This window comes from Homo sapiens, chromosome 6 (genome assembly GCF_000001405.40).
Source record: "Homo sapiens chromosome 6, GRCh38.p14 Primary Assembly".
NCBI lineage: Eukaryota > Metazoa > Chordata > Mammalia > Primates > Hominidae > Homo > Homo sapiens.
The window spans coordinates 49784489-49804833 of record NC_000006.12 but is presented as its reverse complement, the minus strand read 5'-3'; the positions used below and the strand labels follow the sequence as shown (position 1 = coordinate 49804833).

Below are 20345 nucleotides of genomic sequence, written 5' to 3'. Positions count from 1 at the left end.
TTTTTTTTCAAGACGGAGTATTGCTCTGTCGCCCAGGCTGGAGTGAAGTGGCGCGATCTCAGCTCACTGCAACTTCCGCCTCCTGGGTTCCAACGATTCTCCTGCCTCAGCCTTCCGAGTACCTGGGATTACAGGCACACGCCACCACGCCCAGCTAATTTTTGTATTTTTAGTAGAGACAGGGTTTCACCATGTTGGCCAGGCTGGTCTGGAACTCCTGACCTCATGATTCAACTGCCTCGGCCTCCCAAAGTGCTGGGATTACAGGCATGAGCCACCGCACCCAGCCCAGAACATTTTTTTACTGCATATTTTTCTGAATATTTTAAGCCCACTGTTGAGACGGAATACTGACAAAATAATATTGCTTTCAAAATGTTACTGGTCATTGACAATGCACCTGGTTACCCAAGAGCTCTGATGGAGTTGTACAAGGAGATTAATACTGTTTTCATGCCTACTAACACAACACCAATTCTGCAACCCATGGATCAAGGAGTAATTTTAATTTTCAAGTCTTATTATTTAAGAAATACATTTTGTAAAGCTATAGCTGCCATAGACAGTGATTTCTTTGATTGATCTGGGTACAAATTACCTCCCCCATAAGAGAAAGATTCAAGTTGCTTCAAAAATTAAAATAATTTGTGAGAACGTGTATTAGTGTGTTCTCACACTGCTAATAAAGACATACCCGAGACTGGGTAATTTATAAAGGAAAGAGGTTTAAATGGCTCAAAGTTCCACATGGCCAGGGACACCTCACAATCATGGTGGAAGGCAAAGGAGGAGCAAAGTCACCTCTTGCATGGTGGCAGGCAAAAAGAGCCTGTGCAGGGGAACTTCCCTTTATGAAACCATCAAATCTTGTGAGACTTATTCACTGTCACGAGAACAACATGGGAAAGAACCAACCCCATGATTCAATTACCTCCCAATGGATCCCTGCCATGACATGTGGGAATTTTGGGAGCTATAATGCAAGATGAGATTTGGGTGGGGACACAGCCAACCCATATCAGAATCCAAATGTGATTAATATGGTACATAGCTCACATATCTCAAAAATGTGAGACAAACTAATATTTCCCACTCCCCTCTTTATGACCACAGCCTTTCAATCATGGAGTATTTCAGCAGCACAGAAATCTCATGGCATATGCCAGGATTACTGTCAGGGGGAGGAAACAGACTACAACCCTCTCAACTCCAGCCTCTACCCCTTCTCTGTGGCAGTGTTATTTTCAGCATATTATTATAGATTAAACCACATAGTAGATTACACTGCAAAACTTTAAAGATATTGAAAATCAATTAAATATGATTAATTATAAAACATAAAATGTTTATGCATGTAAACATTATAAAATTATTAAAAAGTATAAAACATGGTTTTTATTATGGAGACTGCTATTGGATATATTACAACTGTAATTAAACATTAACCCTAGACTAATGAAAAGATTTGTTTTATGAAAACTCAGTAATTGGTTGCCCTAGTCATAATCTTTTATGTCCTACTGAAAGCTTTTCTTTTTTTTTTTTTGAGATGGAGTCTTGCTCCATCACCCAGGCTGGAGTGCAGTGACATGATCTCAGCTCACTGCAAGCTCCGCCTCCCGGGTTCATGCCATTCTCCTGCCTCTGCCTCCCGAGTAGCTGGAATTACAGGTGCCCGCCAGCACGCCCAGCTAATTTTTTATATTTTTAGTAGAGACAGGGTTTCACCGTGTTAGCCAGGATGGTCTTGATCTCCTGACCTCGTGATCCGCCCACCTCGGCCTCCCAAAGTGCTGGGATTACAGGCATCAGCCACCGCGCCTGGCTGTCCTACTGAAAGTTTTGAGCTCTGTAAAAACACAAAGTCAAAAAGGAAAATAAGACTCCTGTCTATTGCAAGACAATTATGCAGGCATATAGAAGTTATTTTTCAATTTTTAAGGACCTCTTGTAAGGCAAATATAGTGGTAACAAATTTTCTTAACATTTTCTTGTCTGAAAAGGATCTTATTTCTCCTTTGCTTACGAAGTTTAGTTTGTCTGGATGTGAAATTCTTGGTTGGAACTTCTTTTTTTAAGAATGTTGACTAGGCTCCCAATCTCTTCTGGCATGTAGGGTTTCTGCTGAAGGTTCTGCTGTTAGCATAAGGTCCCTGTGTAGGTGACCTGCCCCTTCTTTCTAGCTGCCTTTATAGCAATGTGGATGGAGCTAGAGGCCATTATCCTAAGCAAACTAATGCAGGAACAGAAAAACAAATACTGCAGGCTCTCACTTTGAAGTGGGATCTAAACATTGAGTACTCATGGAACAAAGAAGGGAACAAGAAACACTGAGGCCTACTTAAGGGTGGAGGGTTGGAAGAAGGTGAAGAATGAAAAGCCACCTATTGGGCATCATGCTTATTACCTGGGTGATAAAATAATCTGTACTGCAAAACTCCATGACATGCAATTTACCTATATAACAAACCTGCACATGCACTCCTGAACCTAAAATAAAAGCTTAAAAAAAGACAGAGCAAAGGAATAAATGATGCTTTAAAAAGACTAATGAGCTATCAATGGCAATCTAAAATAAATCCTAAGGCGTTAATTTAAAAAAAAATAAAAATTTTTTAGAATGCAAATTTTTTTTAAAACTTTACATTAATAGCTTTAAATGGGATATTAATTGTTTCATTAAAAGTAAGTATTCATACTTACTAAAGGATTAGTCTATTTTGTTCCTAAAATAATTGATTAAATTTGCTTATATTAATATAGATTATTGGTCATCTCAGCACCCAGAATTCTGTACATAGGATAATGAAAGGTATATTTTACATATATTGCCAACAGAAAAGTGAAACCAAGACAAATTGAACAAAATTTTCCATGTCTTCTTACTAGAATGAATAGTAGATTCTATTCATATCTGTAACTCACTTCATTGCCAGGCGCGTCCTGATTTCAGAGAAGTTAAAATTTGAAAAAAACAAAGTGTGTCTGAAATATGCCTGTATTAGTCTATTTTCATGCTACTGATAAACACCTACCCAAGACTGGGAAGAAAAAGAGGTTTAATTGGACTTACAGTTCCACATGGCTGGGGAGGCCTCAGAATCATGGCGGGAGGCGAAAGGCACTTCTTATGTGTCAGCAGCAAGAGAAAATGAGGAAGAAGCAAAAGTGGAAACCCTTGATAAACCCAACAGATCGCGTAAGACTTATTTACTATTGTGAGAATAGAATGGGAAAGAACGGCCCCCATGATTCAATTACCTCCCCATGGGTCCCCCCAACAACACGTAGGAATTCTGGGAGATACAATTCAAGTTGAGATTTGCTGAAGACACAGCCAAAACATATCACTCCACCCCGGCCCCTCCAAATTTCATGTGCTCACATTTCCAAACCAAACCAACCATGCCTCCCCAGTTTTTGTTTTGTTTTGTTTTGTTTTTTTGGAGACAGTCTCGCTCTGTCACCCAGGCTGGAGTGCAGTGCCGTGATCTTGGCTCACTGCAACCTCTGCCTCCTGTGTTTAAGCAATTCTCCTGCTTCAGCCTCTCTAGTAGCTGGGACTACAGGAGCATACTGCCACACCTGGCTGATTTTTTATATTTTAGTAGAGATGGGGTTTCACCCTGTTGCCCAGGCTGGTCTTGAACTCCTGAGCTCAGGAAATCCACCAGCCTAGGCCTCCCAAAGTGCTGGGATTACAGGTGTGAGCCACTGCATCCAGCCCACAGCCTTAACTCATTTTAGCATTAACCCAAAAGTCCACAGTCCAAAGTCTCATCTGAGACAAGGCAATATTATAAAAATCAAATTATGATTTAAAACAACAATAAATACTCTAAAAACTGTGATGATTACTTATCTGGACAATTAACTTTACTAGAATTTTTAGTCATGCTTAGTTTTCCAAACTTATTGATTTGTTCTGCACTTAAATTTCCTCCTATTTGAATAAAATTACCCATAGTTGGTCTTTTGTTTTTATTTATTTTTTAAAAAGCTTCTTTTGTCTCCCAGTGAGACAAAAATTCTGATATTCTTTATGATTTGAACTACTTTTAATTAACTCTCCTATTTAAATTATACATTAGCTAGATATAAAATTTAGGTTAAAAATTGTTTTTGCTAACTGTGGAAATGTTTGTATTTAATTCAGTTTTTTAATTTTTAATTTTTGTCAGTACATAGTAAGTGTGTATATTTGTGGGATACATGAGATGTTTTGATACAGGCATGCAATGTGAAATAATCACATCATGGAGAATGGAGTGTCCATCCCCTCAAGCATTTATGAAATAATCACATCATGGAGAATGGAGTGTCCATCCCCTCAAGCATGTATCATTTGTGTTACAAACAATACAATTACACTCTTTTATAATGGTTATTCTAAAATGTAAAATTAAGTTATTGACTATAGTTACCCTGTTGTGGGATCTCAATCTGAATCTTTTCCCTTGCAGTGATCTGCTTTTCTATCTTGGAAACTTAAGAAAACTATATGTTCTCGGTGTTAATGTTCCTAAAATGTATTGTAGTGTTTCTAGAGTGTGAATTTGTTTCAAATATTGGCTATTCTGCATATCATGTTATGAACACTTTGAACCTGAGATCTGATTTTTTATTCCATTATATGATGTTATTTGTTAAAACCTTAATCATCTTCATTTTATATATTTTCTCTTTTTATGCCTTCTCTGTGATTGATATTAATATTGTTACAAATTTTAATTTCCTCACACCTTAACTTTGTCCTCATTCACTTTCTCTTGGCCCTTTTCTGGTGTGTTATGCAAGAATTAATCCACAAATTATCTGATCACTCATTCATTATTTTAAAAGCTTTTATTTTACCATGCAATCTATCCATTTAAGTTACATATTTCAACATTTTTTGTATCCAATATGTTGAAGTGGTTATGCTTTATAACGGCTTCATTGTCCTTCATATTTCCATTGTAATTATTTAAGACTTTTTTCATTTATTTAAATCTTGTGTTAAGCTATGAATTTTGCTTCCTTAGATATATTTTGTTATCGGTTAGCTTTCACTCATAATGCTGAAGCTCCTCAGACATGTTGAATTTTTCTCCTTATAAATACCTTTATTGTCTTTATTACCAATCTGCAGGGTAAGCCAAGCCTCAAGTGCTAACTAAATTTATGTGTGTGTATTGAAATTGGAGGAAAATATACATTGAAAGAGCCTCTTATGATATAGTGCATGATTTCCTGCTCCCTGTTCCCACTTCCAGCAGATATTGTCTGTCCTCCAGGAAATATTACAGTATGTCTACTTCAATAGCTTCTTTCCTAGATTATCAGCTGAGAGCTAGAGCCTGCCAGACCTAAGCATAATTATTGTTCTTGGGGCTTCACCCCAGCCTGGCTCCAGTATCGCCTCTGTAGAACTCTACAATTGGAACAATAAAAGAAAGAGAGATTTCAAACTGGTCCCCAAAGCACTGGTTTCAAGCTTTTTATCCAAGATTCTTTCTCTTTCATCTCTTTTATTTGTCTTTTCCCTTTTTTAGTTTCTCTTTCTTCAATTTTGTCTTTTCACTTTTTTAGTTTCTTTCTCTTTTTTCTCTTTTATTTGTCTTTTCACTTTTTTTCTTTTTTCCTTTTTTCTTGACACTTTATTTTACTGAATTATAACATCAAAATTTTAAGACTGCCCAGGACTTAGCCCATCAAAGTTCACAAGACATACCCTTTCCAACTGCTGCTCCAATTAACTCCATCCTGATCACACTCATGGATAGGCTTGATTTCAAGTGCATACAGTGGAGGGAGAAACAGTGCAACAAATATCCTCTACAGCAACTCAATCTCTCTTCTTGGTTTGTGGACTTCCACTGAAGGCCACTTTCTGCCTCCCAGGAATGCAAGAATTCAAAAACCTTAGGCTCCCATGGGCCTCCCATAGGTTTTGGTGGTTGCTAAAAGGAGCTCCATATAATTCCCTGTCTCACATCGGAATCTCCAAAACTAGGTAAGAGACTGAGAACTAGAATCTATTTTACAGGTCTTCATCTTATACAGAAGTCAGTGATGTCTGGCCATATTTTTGGAATGTATATATTCTTCCAAATATTTCCATTAAGCTAGTTTGTCAATTATTCTTGTCGCCTATACTGAATTTATCCGGTAACTGTCCCAATTCCCCTAGTTAATGTTGGAGATACAAAGACACATTTTTATCATTTGTCTTTCTTTTAGCTTAGAGCTTATGCAAACTACAGCTGTCTCCTTTCCCACCTATACCCTTTCTCGATCACAGTGTTATCATCAATATGTTATAATAGATGAAACTCCAATAAATAGTATCAGGCAAATATTTTGACTGTATCAAAAGTTAACCAACTAATATAATTATTTAAATTATAAATATGCTTTGCATAATGCAAGCCACAATTAGATAGGTCATAACTATGATTAAGTAGTAGCCTTAATAAATAAAAAGATATCTTTTATTAAAATTCAATGGACCATTCATTTCTCAAGAGGCATCCCATACTTCTATTTTCTACAGAAATTTTTGAGCTAGGGGGTAATAGAAAAAAACATATAGTAATGTGAATGTCCTGAGTTTCAGTATTAGAAGACAAGCTGATACTTAAAATTGTTTTGGTTTTAACGAAGTAATTCATTATTTTAGAATAATAAAATATATTTAAAACTAAATTGAAAAGTTTTTGGAATGTCTTTAGAAAAATAATCACAGGTTATTCATTAGTTAAAAATAACTCTAAAATAACGTATCAGTGTGAATTAAACTCTCTAGCTTCCAATCTCTTTTATTAAAATTTTAATTAAAATGTTCCCTCTTGAAACACCCTTTTAAATTATAACTTTTATAACACAATTTTCTTGTTCAGGATGACTGCATCTACTGATCTAATTTGGACTCCCTAAGGAAAATAAAACCTAATCTTAGCAATACATCAATCCTCCCCTAGGATTAGTTTGAACTGGTAATGATTTGTATTATTATATACATTATTACATATATTTTTAGAACTTATGTCTCATTAACTTTATTGTAATAACATTAAAATTCTTATCTTAGACGTCACATTGAGTTTGTCCTATTCAGTGCCTACATCAATTAATAATCAGTAACAGAGATCTGTAGGAATTCAATACACAAAAGTCCTAAAAATCACCTATTTGTGATTGGGTAACTTAGCTATTTAATTTTAGCCATATTTCCATGATTCCTTTTATCTTCTAAAAAATTAGATTATAAAAACAAAATATAAAGAGAGTAAAATTTGCTTAAAATTTATGCAACAGAACTATGTTAGAAGAATAGATAAGGGGAGGAGCCAAGATGGCCAAATAGGACCAGCTCCGGTCTACAGCTCCCAGCATGAGCGACGCAGAAGACGGGTGATTTCTGCATTTCCATCTGAGGTACCAGGTTCATCTCACTAGGGAGTGCCAGACAGTGGGCGCAGGTCAGTGGGTGTGTGCACCCGTGCGCGAGCTGAAGCAGAGTGAGGCACTGCCTCACTCGGGAAGCGTAAGGGGTCAGGGAGTTCCCTTTCTTAGTCAAAGGAAGTGGTGACAGACGGCACCTGGAAAATCGGGTCACTCCCACCCGAATACTGCGCTTTTCTGACAGGCTTAAAAAACGGCCCACCAGGAGGTTATATCCTGCACCTGGCTCGGAGGGTCCTACGCCCACAGAGTCTCGCTGATTGCTAGCACAGCAGTCTGAGATCAAACTGCAAGGTGGCAGCGAGGCTGGGGGAGGGGCGCCTGCCATTGCCCAGGCTTGCTCAGGTAAACAAAGCAGCCGGGGAAGCTCCAACTGGGTGGAGCCCACCACAGCTCAAGGAGGCCTGCCTGCCTCTGTAGGCTCCACCTCTGGAGGCAGGGCACAGACAAACAAAAAGACAGCAGTAACCTCTGCAGACTTAAATGTCCCTGTCTGACAGCTTTGAAGAGAGCAGTGGTTCTCCCAGCACGCAGCTGGAGATCTGAGAATGGGCAGACTGCCTCCTCAAGTGGGTCCCTGACCCCTGACCCTCAAGCAGCCTAACTGGGAGGCACCCCCCAGCAGGGGCAGACTGACACCTCACATGGCCCAGTACTCCAACAGACCTGCAGCTGAGGGTCCTGTCTGTTAGAAAGAAAACTAACAAACAGAAAGGACATCCACACCAAAAACCCATCTGTACATCACCATCATCAAAGACCAAAAGTAGATAAAACCACAAAGATGGGGAAAAAGCAGAGCAGAAAAACTGGAAACTCTAAAAAGCAGAGCGCCTCTCCTCCTCCAAAGGAATGCAGTTCCTCACCAGCAACGGAACAAAGCTGGACGGAGAATGACTTTGACGAGCTGAGAGAAGAAGGCTTCAGACGATCAAATTACTCCGAGCTACGGGAGGACATTCAAACCAAAGGCAAAGAAGCTGAAAACTTTGAAAAAAATTTAGAAGAATGTATAACTAGAATAACCAATACAGAGAAGTGCTTAAAGGAGCTGATGGAGCTGAAAACTAAGGCTCGAGAACTACGTGAAGAATGCAGAAGCCTCAGGAGCCGATGCGATCAACTGGAAGAAAGGGTATCAGCGATGGAAGATGAAATGAATGAAATGAAGCGAGAAAGGAAGTTTAGAGAAAAAAGAATAAAAAGAAACAAGCAAAGCCTCCAAGAAATATGGGACTATGTGAAAAGACCAAATCTACATCTGATTGGTGTACCTGAAAGTGACGTGGAGAATGGAACCAAGCTGGAAAACACTCTGCAGGATATTATCCAGGAGAACTTCCCCAATCTAGCAAGGCAGGCCAACATTCAGATTCAGGAAATACAGAGAACGCCACAAAGATACTCCTCGAGAAGAGCGACATCAAGACACATAATTGTCAGATTCACCAAAGTTGAAATGAAGGAAAAAAAGTTAAGGGCAGCCAGAGAGAAAGGTCAGGTTACCCTCAAAGGGAAGCCCATCAGACTAACAGCAGATCTCTCAGCAGAAACTCTCCAAGCCAGAAGAGAGTGGGGGCCAATATTCAACATTCTTAAAGAAAAGAATTTTCAACCCAGAATTTCATATCCAGCCAAACTAAGCTTCATAAGTGAAGGAGAAATAAAATACTTTACAGACAAGCAAATGCTGAGAGATTTTGTCACCACCAGGCCTGCCCTAAAAGAGCTCCTGAAGGAAGCGCTAAACATGGAAAGGAACAACTGGTACCAGCCACTACAAAATCATGCCAAAATGTAAAGACCATCGAGACTAGGAAGAAACTACATCAACTAACGAGCAAAATAACCAGCTAACATCATAATGACAGGATCAAATTCACACATAACAATATTAACTTTAAATGTAAATGGACTAAATGCTCCAATTAAAAGACACAGACTGGCAAATTGGATAAAGAGTCAAGACCCATCAGTGTGCTGTATTCAGGAAACCCATCTCATGGGCAGAGACACATATAGGCTCAAAATAAAAGGATGGAGGAAGATCTACCAAGCAAATGGAGAACAAAAAAAGGCAGGGGTTGCAATCCTAGTCTCTGATAAAACAGACTTTAAACCAACAAAGATCAAAAGAGACAAAGAAAGCCATTACTTAATGGTGAAGGGATCAATTCAACAAGAAGAGCTAATTATCCTAAATATATATGCACCCAATACAGGAGCACCCAGATTCATAAAGCAAGTCCTCAGTGACCTACACAGAGACTTAGACTCCCACACATTAATAATGGGAGACTTTAACACCCCACTGTCAACATTAGACAGATCAACGAGACAGAAAGTCAACAAGGATACCCAGGAATTGAACTCAGCTCTGCACCAAGCGGACCTAATAGACATCTACAGACCTCTCCACCCCAAATCAACAGAATATACAATTTTTTCAGCACCACACCACACCTATTCCAAAATTGACCACATAGTTGGAAGTAACACTCTCCTCAGCAAATGTAAAAGAACAGAAATTGTAACAAACTGTCTCTCAGACCACAGTGCAATCAAATTAGAACTCAGGATTAAGAATCTCACTCAAAACCGCTCAACTACATGGAAGCTGAACAACCTGCTCCTGAATGACTACTGGGTACATAACGAAATGAAGGCAGAAATAAAGATGTTCTTTGAAACCAATGAGAACAAAGACACAACATACCAGAATCTCTGGGACACATTCAAAGCAGTGTGTAGAGGGAAATTTATAGCACTAAATGCCCACAAGAGAAAGCAGGAAAGATCCAAAATTGACACCCTAACATCACAATTAAAAGAACTAGAAAAGCAAGAGCAAACACATTCAAAAGCTAGCAGAAGGCAAGAAATAACTAAAATCAGAGCAGAACTGAAGGAAATAGAGACACAAAAAACCCTTCAAAAAATTAACGAATCCAGAAGCTGGTTTTTTGAAAGGATCAACAAAATTGATAGACTGCTAGCAAGACTAATAAAGAAAAAAAGAGACAAGAATCAAATAGACCCAATAAAAAATGATAAAGGGGATATCACCACCGATCCCACAGAAATACAAACTAGCATTAGAGAATACTACAAACACTTCTGCGCAAAAAACTAGAAAATCTAGAAGAAATGGATAAATTCCTTGACACATACACTCTCCCAGGACTAAACCAGGAAGAAGTTGAATCTCTGAATAGACCAATAACAGGAGCTGAAATTGTGGCAATAATCAATAGCTTACCAACGAAAAAGAGTCCAGGACCAGATGGATTCACAGCCGAATTCTACCAGAGGTACAAGGAGGAACTGGTACCATTCCTCCTGAAACTATTCCAATCAATAGAAAAAGAGGGAATCCTCCCTAAGTCATTTTATGAGGCCAGCATCATCCTGATACCAAAGCCGGGCAAAGACACAACCAAAAAAGAGAATTTTAGACCAATATCTTTGATGAACATCGATGCAAAAATCCTCCATAAAATACTGGTAAAACGAATCCAGCAGCACATCAAAAAGCTTATCCACCATGATCAAGTGGGCTTCATCCCTGGGATGCAAGGCTGGTTCAATATACGCAAATCAATAAACGTAATCCAGCATATAAACAGAACCAAAGACAAAAACCACATGATTATTTCAATAGATGCAGAAAAGGCCTTTGACAAAATTCAACAACCTTCATGCTAAAAACTCTCAATAAATTAGGTATTGATGGGACGTATCTCAAAATAATAAGAGCTATCTATGACAAACCCACAGCCAATATCATACTGAATGGGCAAAAACTGGAAGCATTCCCTTTGAAAACTGGCACAAGGCAGGGATGCCCTCTCTCACCACTCCTATTCAACATAGTGTTGGAAGTTCTGGCCAGGGCAATTAGGCAGGAGAAGGAAATAAAGGGTATTCAGTTAGGAAAAGAGGAAGTCAAATTGTCCCTGTTTGCAGACGACATGATTGTATATCTAGAAAACCCCATTGTCTCAGCCCAAAATCTCCTTAAGCTGATAAGCAAATTCAGCAAAGTCTCAGGATACAAAATCAATGTACAAAAATCACAAGCATTCTTATACATCAACAACAGACAAACAGAGAGCCAAATCAGGAGTGCACTCCCATTCACAATTGCTTCAAAGAGAATAAAATACCTAGGAATCCAACTTACAAGGGATGTGAAGGACCTCTTCAAGGAGAACTACAAACCACTGCTCAAGGAAATCAAAGAGGATACAAACAAATGGAAGAACATTCCATGCTCATGTGTAGGAAGAATCAATATTGTGAAAATGGCCACACTGCCCAAGGTAATTTATAGATTCAATACCAGCCCCATCAAGCTACCAATGACTTTCTTCACAGAATTGGAAAAAACTACTTTAAAGTTCATGTGGAACCAAAAAAGAGCCCGCATTGCCAAGTCAATCCTAAGCCAAAAGAACAAAGCTGGAGGCATCACACTACCTGACTTCAAACTATACTACAAGGCTACAGTAACCAAAACAGCATGGTACTGGTACCAAAACAGAGATGTAGATCAATGGAACAGAACAGAGCCCTCAGAAATAACGCCGCATATCTACAACTATCTGATCTTTGACAAACCTGAGAAAAGCAATGGGGAAAGGATTCCCTATTTAATAAATGGTGCTGGGAAAACTGGCTAGCCATATGTAGAAAGCTGAAACTGGATCCCTTCCTTACACCTTATACAAAAATTAATTCAAGATGGGTTAAAGACTTAAACGTTAGACCTAATACCATAAAAACCCTAGAAGAAAACCTAGGCATTACCATTCAGGACATAGGCATGGGCAAGGACTTCATGTCTAAAACACCAAAAGCAATGGCAACAAAAGACAAAATTGACAAATGGGGTCTCATTAAACTAAAGAGCTTCTGCACAGCAAAAGAAACTACCATCAGAGTGAACAGGCAACCTACAAAATGGGAGAAAATTTTTGCAACCTACTCATCTGACAAAGGGCTAATATCCAGAATCTACAATGAACTCAAACAAATTTACAAGAAAAAAACAAACAACCCCATCAAAAAGTGGGCAAAGGACATGAACAGACACTTCTCAAAAGAAGACATTTATGCAGCCAAAAAACACATGAAAAAATGCTCACCATCACTGGTCATTAGAGAAATGCAAATCAAAACCACAATGAGATACCATTTCACACCAGTTAGAATGGCAATCATTAAAAAGGCAGGAAACAACAGGTGCTGGAGAGGATGTGGAGAAATAGGAACACTTTTACACTGTTGGTGGGACTGTAAGCTAGTTCAACCATTGTGGAAGTCAGTGTGGCGATTCCTCAGGGATCCAGAACTAGAAATACCATTTGACCCAGCCATCCCATTACTGGGTATATACCCAAAGGACTATAAATCATGCTGCTATAAAGACACATGCACACATATGTTTATTGCGGCATTATTCACAATAGCAAAGACTTGGAACCAACCCAAATGTCCAACAATGATAGACTGGATTAAGATAATGTGGCACATATACACCATGAATACTATGCAGCCATAAAAAATGATGAGTTCATGTCCTTTGTAGGGACATGGATGAAATTGGAAATCATCATTCTCAGTAAACTATCACAAGAACAAAAAACCAAATACCGCATATTCTCACTCATAGGTGGGAATTGAACAATGAGAACACATGAACACAGGAAGGGGAACATCACACTCTGGAGACTGTTGTGGGGTGGGGGCAGGGGGGAGGGATAGCATTGGGAGATATACCTAATGCTAGATGACGAGTTAGTGGGTGCAGTGCACCAGCATAGCATATGTATACATATGTAACTAACCTGCACATTGTGCACATGTACCCTAAAACTTAAAGTATAATAATAATAATAATAATAATAAAGAAAAAAAAGAAGAATAGATAAGTAGATGGAGGAACAAATGCAAAAAAGTATACTTTAAAAGAAATGCATTGGCTAATTCATACATAATGTTATCGTGTGAATTATTATGTTGTTTTCAAACTAATTCTGCACTGTGTAAAAAGTTATATATTAGGTTGACGCAAGAGTAGCGGTTTTCGCCATTGAAAGGGAGAGATAGCACCATACAGCCACCTTAGTCTACCTTTTACAATGATCCCAAAAACTCATGGAAACATTTTCAAATGCATAAATTGAAGTTTGCTGCTATTATTAATAGGGACATTTACAAATTCATAAACAATTTAAAAATTGTTTTTAAATTGTTAAAAGAAGGATTGGTGTGTTTCGAAATATTAAAAATTAGTGACTAAAATGACACAATATGTACATGAGAATATACATACCTATAGATTATTAGTCATTTCAGCACCCAGAACTCTGCATAACGTATGGAATATATATTTGCATATTTTACAATCATTGTCAATGGAAAGGTGAATTGAAGGTAAACTGCCCCAAATATTTCACAGGCTTCCTAATAGAAAGAATAATAGATTATATCCATAACATGTTTCAATTTTCAAAGAAAATGGATAACCTATAATGAAATCTTTCCATCATAGACTTTAATCAGTCACCACCATGAGCAAATACTAGTAGCTAAGTAAGCAGCCCTTAAAAGACCTGGAGAGAAACAGAGGACATTTGCATAAAGAAAACCTGGAAAACCTGTCCAAGAACAGGAGAACGTAGAGACATTGATACTGTGAACATAGATGAAAACTGGATTTAGTCAAGAAGACATTTCAGCCTCTATGTGGGATGATACGTGGTAACAGGATTTTAATTTTGAAAGACAAGGTCCTCAGAGCTTGATGCTGTTACATGAAGACAGATCTTGGGGAAGTGGTGACAAAATGCCCTTGTGGTTTAGCTCAGTGCAGAGCACACTGCAAATCTTCTTTACAGAAAGGTGCCAAAACAGAAGAGTATATTTTCCTTTTGGGTCTTTCAAATCTAGTATTTGTAAATCATGGTGAATAGTAATTTGAATACTCAGAATCTATTTATCACTACATTCAAACAGTCCATTAAGCTCCACCTCTAGTAGAGGAATGTGTCTACATACATTATTTGGAATTCCTCTGTAGAGAAGTTTTGTCCTTTCCCCCACCCCCACTTATTTATTTATAAGTCACTGCTTCTCTGCCCTCTTACGAACAGAGCTTGAAAATATTTGCGTTTATCAAAATCCTGTTTGAGTAGGCAGAATAACGGCCCACCAAAGATGTCCATGTCCTATTCCCCAGAACTTGTAAATACTGATGCTACATGACAAAAGAGACTTTGCAGATATAATTATATCACAGTATTTAATTAGGGAGTTTATCCTGTATTATCTAGTTTGGCCCAACTTAATCAAATGAGTCCTTAACAGCAGAGAATTTTCTCTGGATGAAAGTGGAAAACAGATGGAGTAGAAATGAAAATCAGAGAGATTCCAATTGTAAGAAGAATTCAATGCATCATTGCTGGCTCTCAGATACAGGAACCTACAAACCTGAGAGGGCCTTTAGGGGTTTATTAACAGCCAGCCAAAAGCAGGTAGCTCAGTCCTATAATTGCAAGGAACTGAATCCTGCCAAAAGCCTAAATGAGCTTAGAGGTAAATTCTTCCTAGAGCCTTGTAATGAAAACCCAGCCATCAAAACTTTATGAAATCCAGAGCAAGAAACCAGCAGAGCCAACCTGAATCTCTGACCTACAGAATTGTTTTTGAACACAAAATTGTGTTATTTCAAGTAGCTAAATTTGTGACAACTTGCTTCAGTAGCAAGAGAAAATTAACACATATTTATACACATATATCTGTAATTATTTTCCATATCAACCTATGTGTATATTGAACTTAATATGAGTTCATACCGATATCTCAGACTCTTAATCCAGCACCACAGAGTTCATTCTGCCCTTGCTTATTTGTAATTTATTTTCCTGACGGTGAGAAACTTTTAATTATCTTCCATTATTTGTTTATCTCTAATAACACAAATAGTTTAAGAATTATTCACCTATAAGCTTGTGATATTCAAACTTACCAACTAGAGTATTATATTTATGGACAGCTGTTTTTGTCTTTAGTTTTACAAACTGAAAACCTCTTTTGCAAAGTTACTTAAGTCATTTCCTTTTTTTGTCCACATCACCTGTAGTAAAATTTCCACATCACATGTAGTAAAATTTCCTATATATTACGATACAGTTAGGCTTATCTGTCAGAGGCTACATTATATAATACGATTCCCTAACACTCTGGATCATATTTTTTATTTGCATTCATTAAAGTTTACTCTCTACAACGTACGATTCTATGAATTTTGACAAGTGCATAGAATGTTGTATCCACCACTCCAGTACCTCATAGAAAAGTTTACCACACTAAAAATCCTCCTGTGTATCCCCATTATAGTTGACCACGCTCTCTTAACCTGTAGCAACCACTGATATGTTTTCCATCCCTATAGTTTTGCCTTTTATCAAATGTCATACAAATGGAATTATACAATAACTACAAAATTTTTTTGCCTGGCGTCTTTCAGTTAGTAAGGCACATTTAAGTTTTATCCAGGGCTTTTGTGTAAGTAAATAGCTTGTTTCTTTTCTTTTTTTAAAAAATAATATTCCATTGCATGGATATATCACAGTTTATTTATTTATTACTTGAAGAATATACAATTTTGGTAATTATTAATAAAACTGCTCTAAACGTTTGTTTACAGAAGTTTGAGAGAATACAGGTTTTTGATGTCCTTGGATGAATATCTAGAAATAGGATTGATGACTTGTATGGTAAGTCTATGCATATTTCTAAGAAATTGCCAAGCTGTTTCCCAAAATGTCTGTAGCATATTTCATTCCTGGGAGCAACAAATGAGAGTTTCTGTTACTATATATTTTAACACCATTTAAGTTTGCTTTTAAATGCTGTTGACTCGATGTTCAACATTGAGGAACCGATAAACTGTTTTTTAAAGTGGCTGCACCATTAGACATTCCTATCAGCAATAAATGAGGATTCCAATTTGTCCACTTCTTTCTCAACACTTGTTTTTATTTTTTATTTTAGCCATCTTAATAGGAGATGCCTCAAATATATTTCTGTCAAAGCCTTCATTTTACATATTTAGTTCACTCAACTTATGGAGTAGAATGAAAAAAACTGTAAAGCCAATTTTCATTACTAAACCAACTAGCCACATACATTTGCTTTCTCCAAAAATAGAATATCTTACTCACTTTCAATTCTAATATATGTTTTCATCTTCATGAAAACCATGCATTTATTTTTCAGCTCAATTTCTAAGTTGTACAGGTAGGAAAGCAAACAGAGAGGAGACAAAAAATAAGGAGCCTCATCATAACATTGTAGTCTGAAAGAAATGTCACCATTACTTTCAGCACTTGTTACTGATACTCTCTTTGCTATGATCTTATGGGATTCTCCTGCAGAAGTGACCAAACATTCTTTCATGGTAGTCTGAAAATGGAAGAAGCAAAGTAATGAAAATATGACAGCATTCCCACCACGTCCCAGAATAGATCTAAAGATGAAGACTAACAACAAGCCACATCCTCAAAGAAATATTTATCAAGACAAGGAAAAAACAGAACTATACTATCCTGACTTGAATAAGCAAGGTTTCATATGAAAATCATTATTTCAAATATTCCTTTTATTTGGCACTGCAGAGGTTTTTACATATCAAAATGGTTAAGATTTGACATGAATGAGGTGTATGTAGGTTTGCGGGGGTGGGGGTGGAGTTCTTTTTGTTTTGTTTTTAATAATAAAAGCAACTGTTAACCGAGCTGTGGGGTGGGGGCAAAAAGAGCCAGAAGGCGGCGCACACCTCAGGACTATTCTTGTTTTTTTAGAACCATTCTTATTCTGGGGTTTCTTCACCTACCCAAGTCTCGCCTGAAGCCAGGTACAGCTCTATTCCACTACATGACCCTCTGCCCAGGAAGTTGGAATCTTCACCTAGCAACACAGTTCAGATCGAGATTGACAGGACCATGAGCCAATCACAAAGCTAGATTTGCTTTCCAGTCTAACAGTGGCCGTTGTGCTGGAGACAGTGAGGAGAAGAAAGGGGCGGGACAAGGGCAAAGGCGTTAGAAGTCACCACCGACCCAGCCCCTCAACAGCAAGTTGGTTCTTCAGCATTAAGATCCAGGTGTCAGCCTATGTCTTTATATTGTCAAGATGTCTCTTTCTAAGAAGTTGACTTTAGACAAACTGGATGTTAGAGGGAAGCGAGTCATCATGAGAGTAGACTTCAATGTTCCCATGAAGAAGAACCAGATTACAAACAACCAGAGGATCAAGGCTTCCATCCCAAGCATCAAGTACTGCCTGGACAATGGAGCCAAGGCAGTAGTTCTTATGAGTCATCTAGGTCGGCCTGATGGTGTTCCCATGCCTGACAAATATTCCTTAGCACCTGTTGCTGTTGAGCTCAAATCCTTGCTGGGCAAGGATGTTCTGTTCCTGAAGGACTGTGTAGGCGCAGAAGTGGAGAAAGCCTGTGCCAACCCAGCTCCTGGTTCAGTCATCCTGCTGGAGAACCTGCGCTTTCATGTGGAGGAAGAAGGGAAGGGCCAAGATCCCTCTGGAAAGAAGATTAAAGCTGAGCCAGATAAAATAGAAGCCTTCCGAGCATCACTTTCCAAGCTAGGGGACGTCTATGTCAATGATGCTTTTGGCACTGCACACCGCGCTCATAGTTCCATGGTGGGAGTGAATCTGCCCCATAAAGCATCCGGATTCTTGATGAAGAAGGAACTAGATTACTTTGCTAAAGCCTTGGAAAACCCAGTGAGACCCTTTCTGGCTATACTTGGTGGAGCCAAAGTGGCAGACAAGATCCAACTTATCAAAAATATGCTGGACAAAGTCAATGAGATGATTATTGGTGGTGGAATGGCTTATACCTTCCTTAAGGTACTCAACAACATGGAGATTGGTGCTTCCCTGTTTGATGAAGAGGGAGCCAAGATCGTTAAAGATATCATGGCCAAAGCACAAAAGAATGGTGTAAGGATTACTTTTCCTGTTGATTTTGTTACTGGGGACAAGTTTGACGAGAACGCTCAGGTTGGAAAAGCCACTGTAGCATCTGGCATATCTCCTGGCTGGATGGGTTTGGACTGTGGTCCTGAGAGCAACAAGAATCATGCTCAAGTTGTGGCTCAAGCAAGGCTAATTGTTTGGAATGGGCCGTTAGGAGTATTTGAATGGGATGCCTTTGCTAAGGGAACCAAAGCCCTCATGGATGAAATTGTGAAAGCCACTTCCAAGGGCTGCATCACTGTTATAGGGGGTGGAGACACTGCTACTTGCTGTGCCAAATGGAACACTGAAGATAAAGTCAGCCATGTCAGCACTGGAGGCGGTGCCAGTCTAGAGCTTCTGGAAGGTAAAATCCTTCCTGGAGTAGAGGCCCTCAGCAACATGTAGTTAATATAGTGTTACTTCCTTCTGTTTTCTGTCCATGGCCCTTAAGTCAGCTTAATGCTTTTACATCTCGATGTGACTTTTGTTAAAATCTACTCCTAGATCAAGACCTATGTAATGGACAAGCAGCAGGCCATCAGGAACTCTTAATATCAGCACAGCAATTCATTTTAGTTTGGTCACGCATTTGCCTGTTCAAGTTCTCATTTGAACTTCACCATTGTGCTATCTAGGGAGGACATATTCTTAAGTTGCCTATTAAAGAAAGTGAGCTGAAGAAACTGAATCTTTTTATTTTAGTCCAACTTTGCTATTGTTTCATAATTTGAAACCCAAAAGATAAAACTTAATTTGTTGGGAAAGGGTGGAATGAAAGTTGACAAACAAACAATAAATATGCCCAAATAAACTGAGAAAAATAATTACATATAAAGAACTCATGGGTACCATTAAAGTTCTGCTAAGGGGAAATGTTATACTAAATAGGACCAAAAAAAAGAGAAATGAAAGACACTTATTAAACCCAAGGAATTTTTAAAAAGAAAAGAAATTAAACTCAAGGTAAGAATTATGTTTGTGTGCATATCAATGCACAAGATTACACACAAATGCCAGCTAGAAAAAGAGCTACAAGTTAAACCCAAGTTGTAAATAAGTAATTGTTTTATTTTTAAGGCAGGCATTATTTAATAAATAGATAATATAACTGGTAAGTTCTAAAACTTGGTTTTTGAGATAAATAAAATATATATACATAGCTGGTTTAATAATGGGAAAATAGAGATAAAAATTCTCTATTAGAAAACAGAAGATAAAATGATAAGAAATGTAGAAAAAACAAAAACACTTATTGGAAAATATTTTGCTTTATTCTGTAGACAGAGGTAGTTTAGGGCAATGCTATTAACAAGAATAGTAATTAAGAGTAAAAATGCAGATTAACCTTTCCCAGCTATAATGTCTTATGTCCCATAACCGCAGATCAATTGTGATATTCAATATCCTGAATAATTGAGCTTCAAATATGAATCTTAATACATCTGAAATTTCAACATATTTTAAGCAGAATGTTAATATCATAGTAATCCCAGGAAAGATGTAGGAGTTAGGATTAATGGAACCAAAACTTGAGTAGTTGAAACAAGAATAAAACATGTCGCTCTCTCACATGAGAATCCAGGGCAAATAACATGGGCTTTCCTTTTTAAGGTCATCTAGGGAACCAAACTGGTGAAACAGATCTGTTACTCCCAGTGAGGGGGTTCAGTCTGTGTATGGTATGAGGCCACTGTTCAAGCTTTTGCTACTTGATTGCCAACCTGAAGGGGGAAGTTCTTGAAAGGCAATTAGTTTTCTTTTCAATACATGATTCAAAAAGTTTAGAGATTTGTTTTCATGTAACCTGTTGGCATTAGTTGTGAGATAAGGCCTATTTTGCAAGGGTAGAT

At 38.0% G+C, this 20345-nt stretch overlaps 1 protein-coding gene across 1 annotated transcript; it reads left to right on the top strand.

The window, feature by feature from the left end:
• Nucleotides 1–17548: 17548 nt before the first annotated feature.
• On the top strand, nt 17549–19174 carry PGK2 (phosphoglycerate kinase 2). The gene has a single exon (NM_138733.5). The coding sequence runs from the start codon at nt 17647–17649 to the stop codon at nt 18898–18900; it is 1254 nt and encodes a 417-aa protein (NP_620061.2). The 5' UTR covers nt 17549–17646; the 3' UTR covers nt 18901–19174.
• Nucleotides 19175–20345: the final 1171 nt, after the last annotated feature.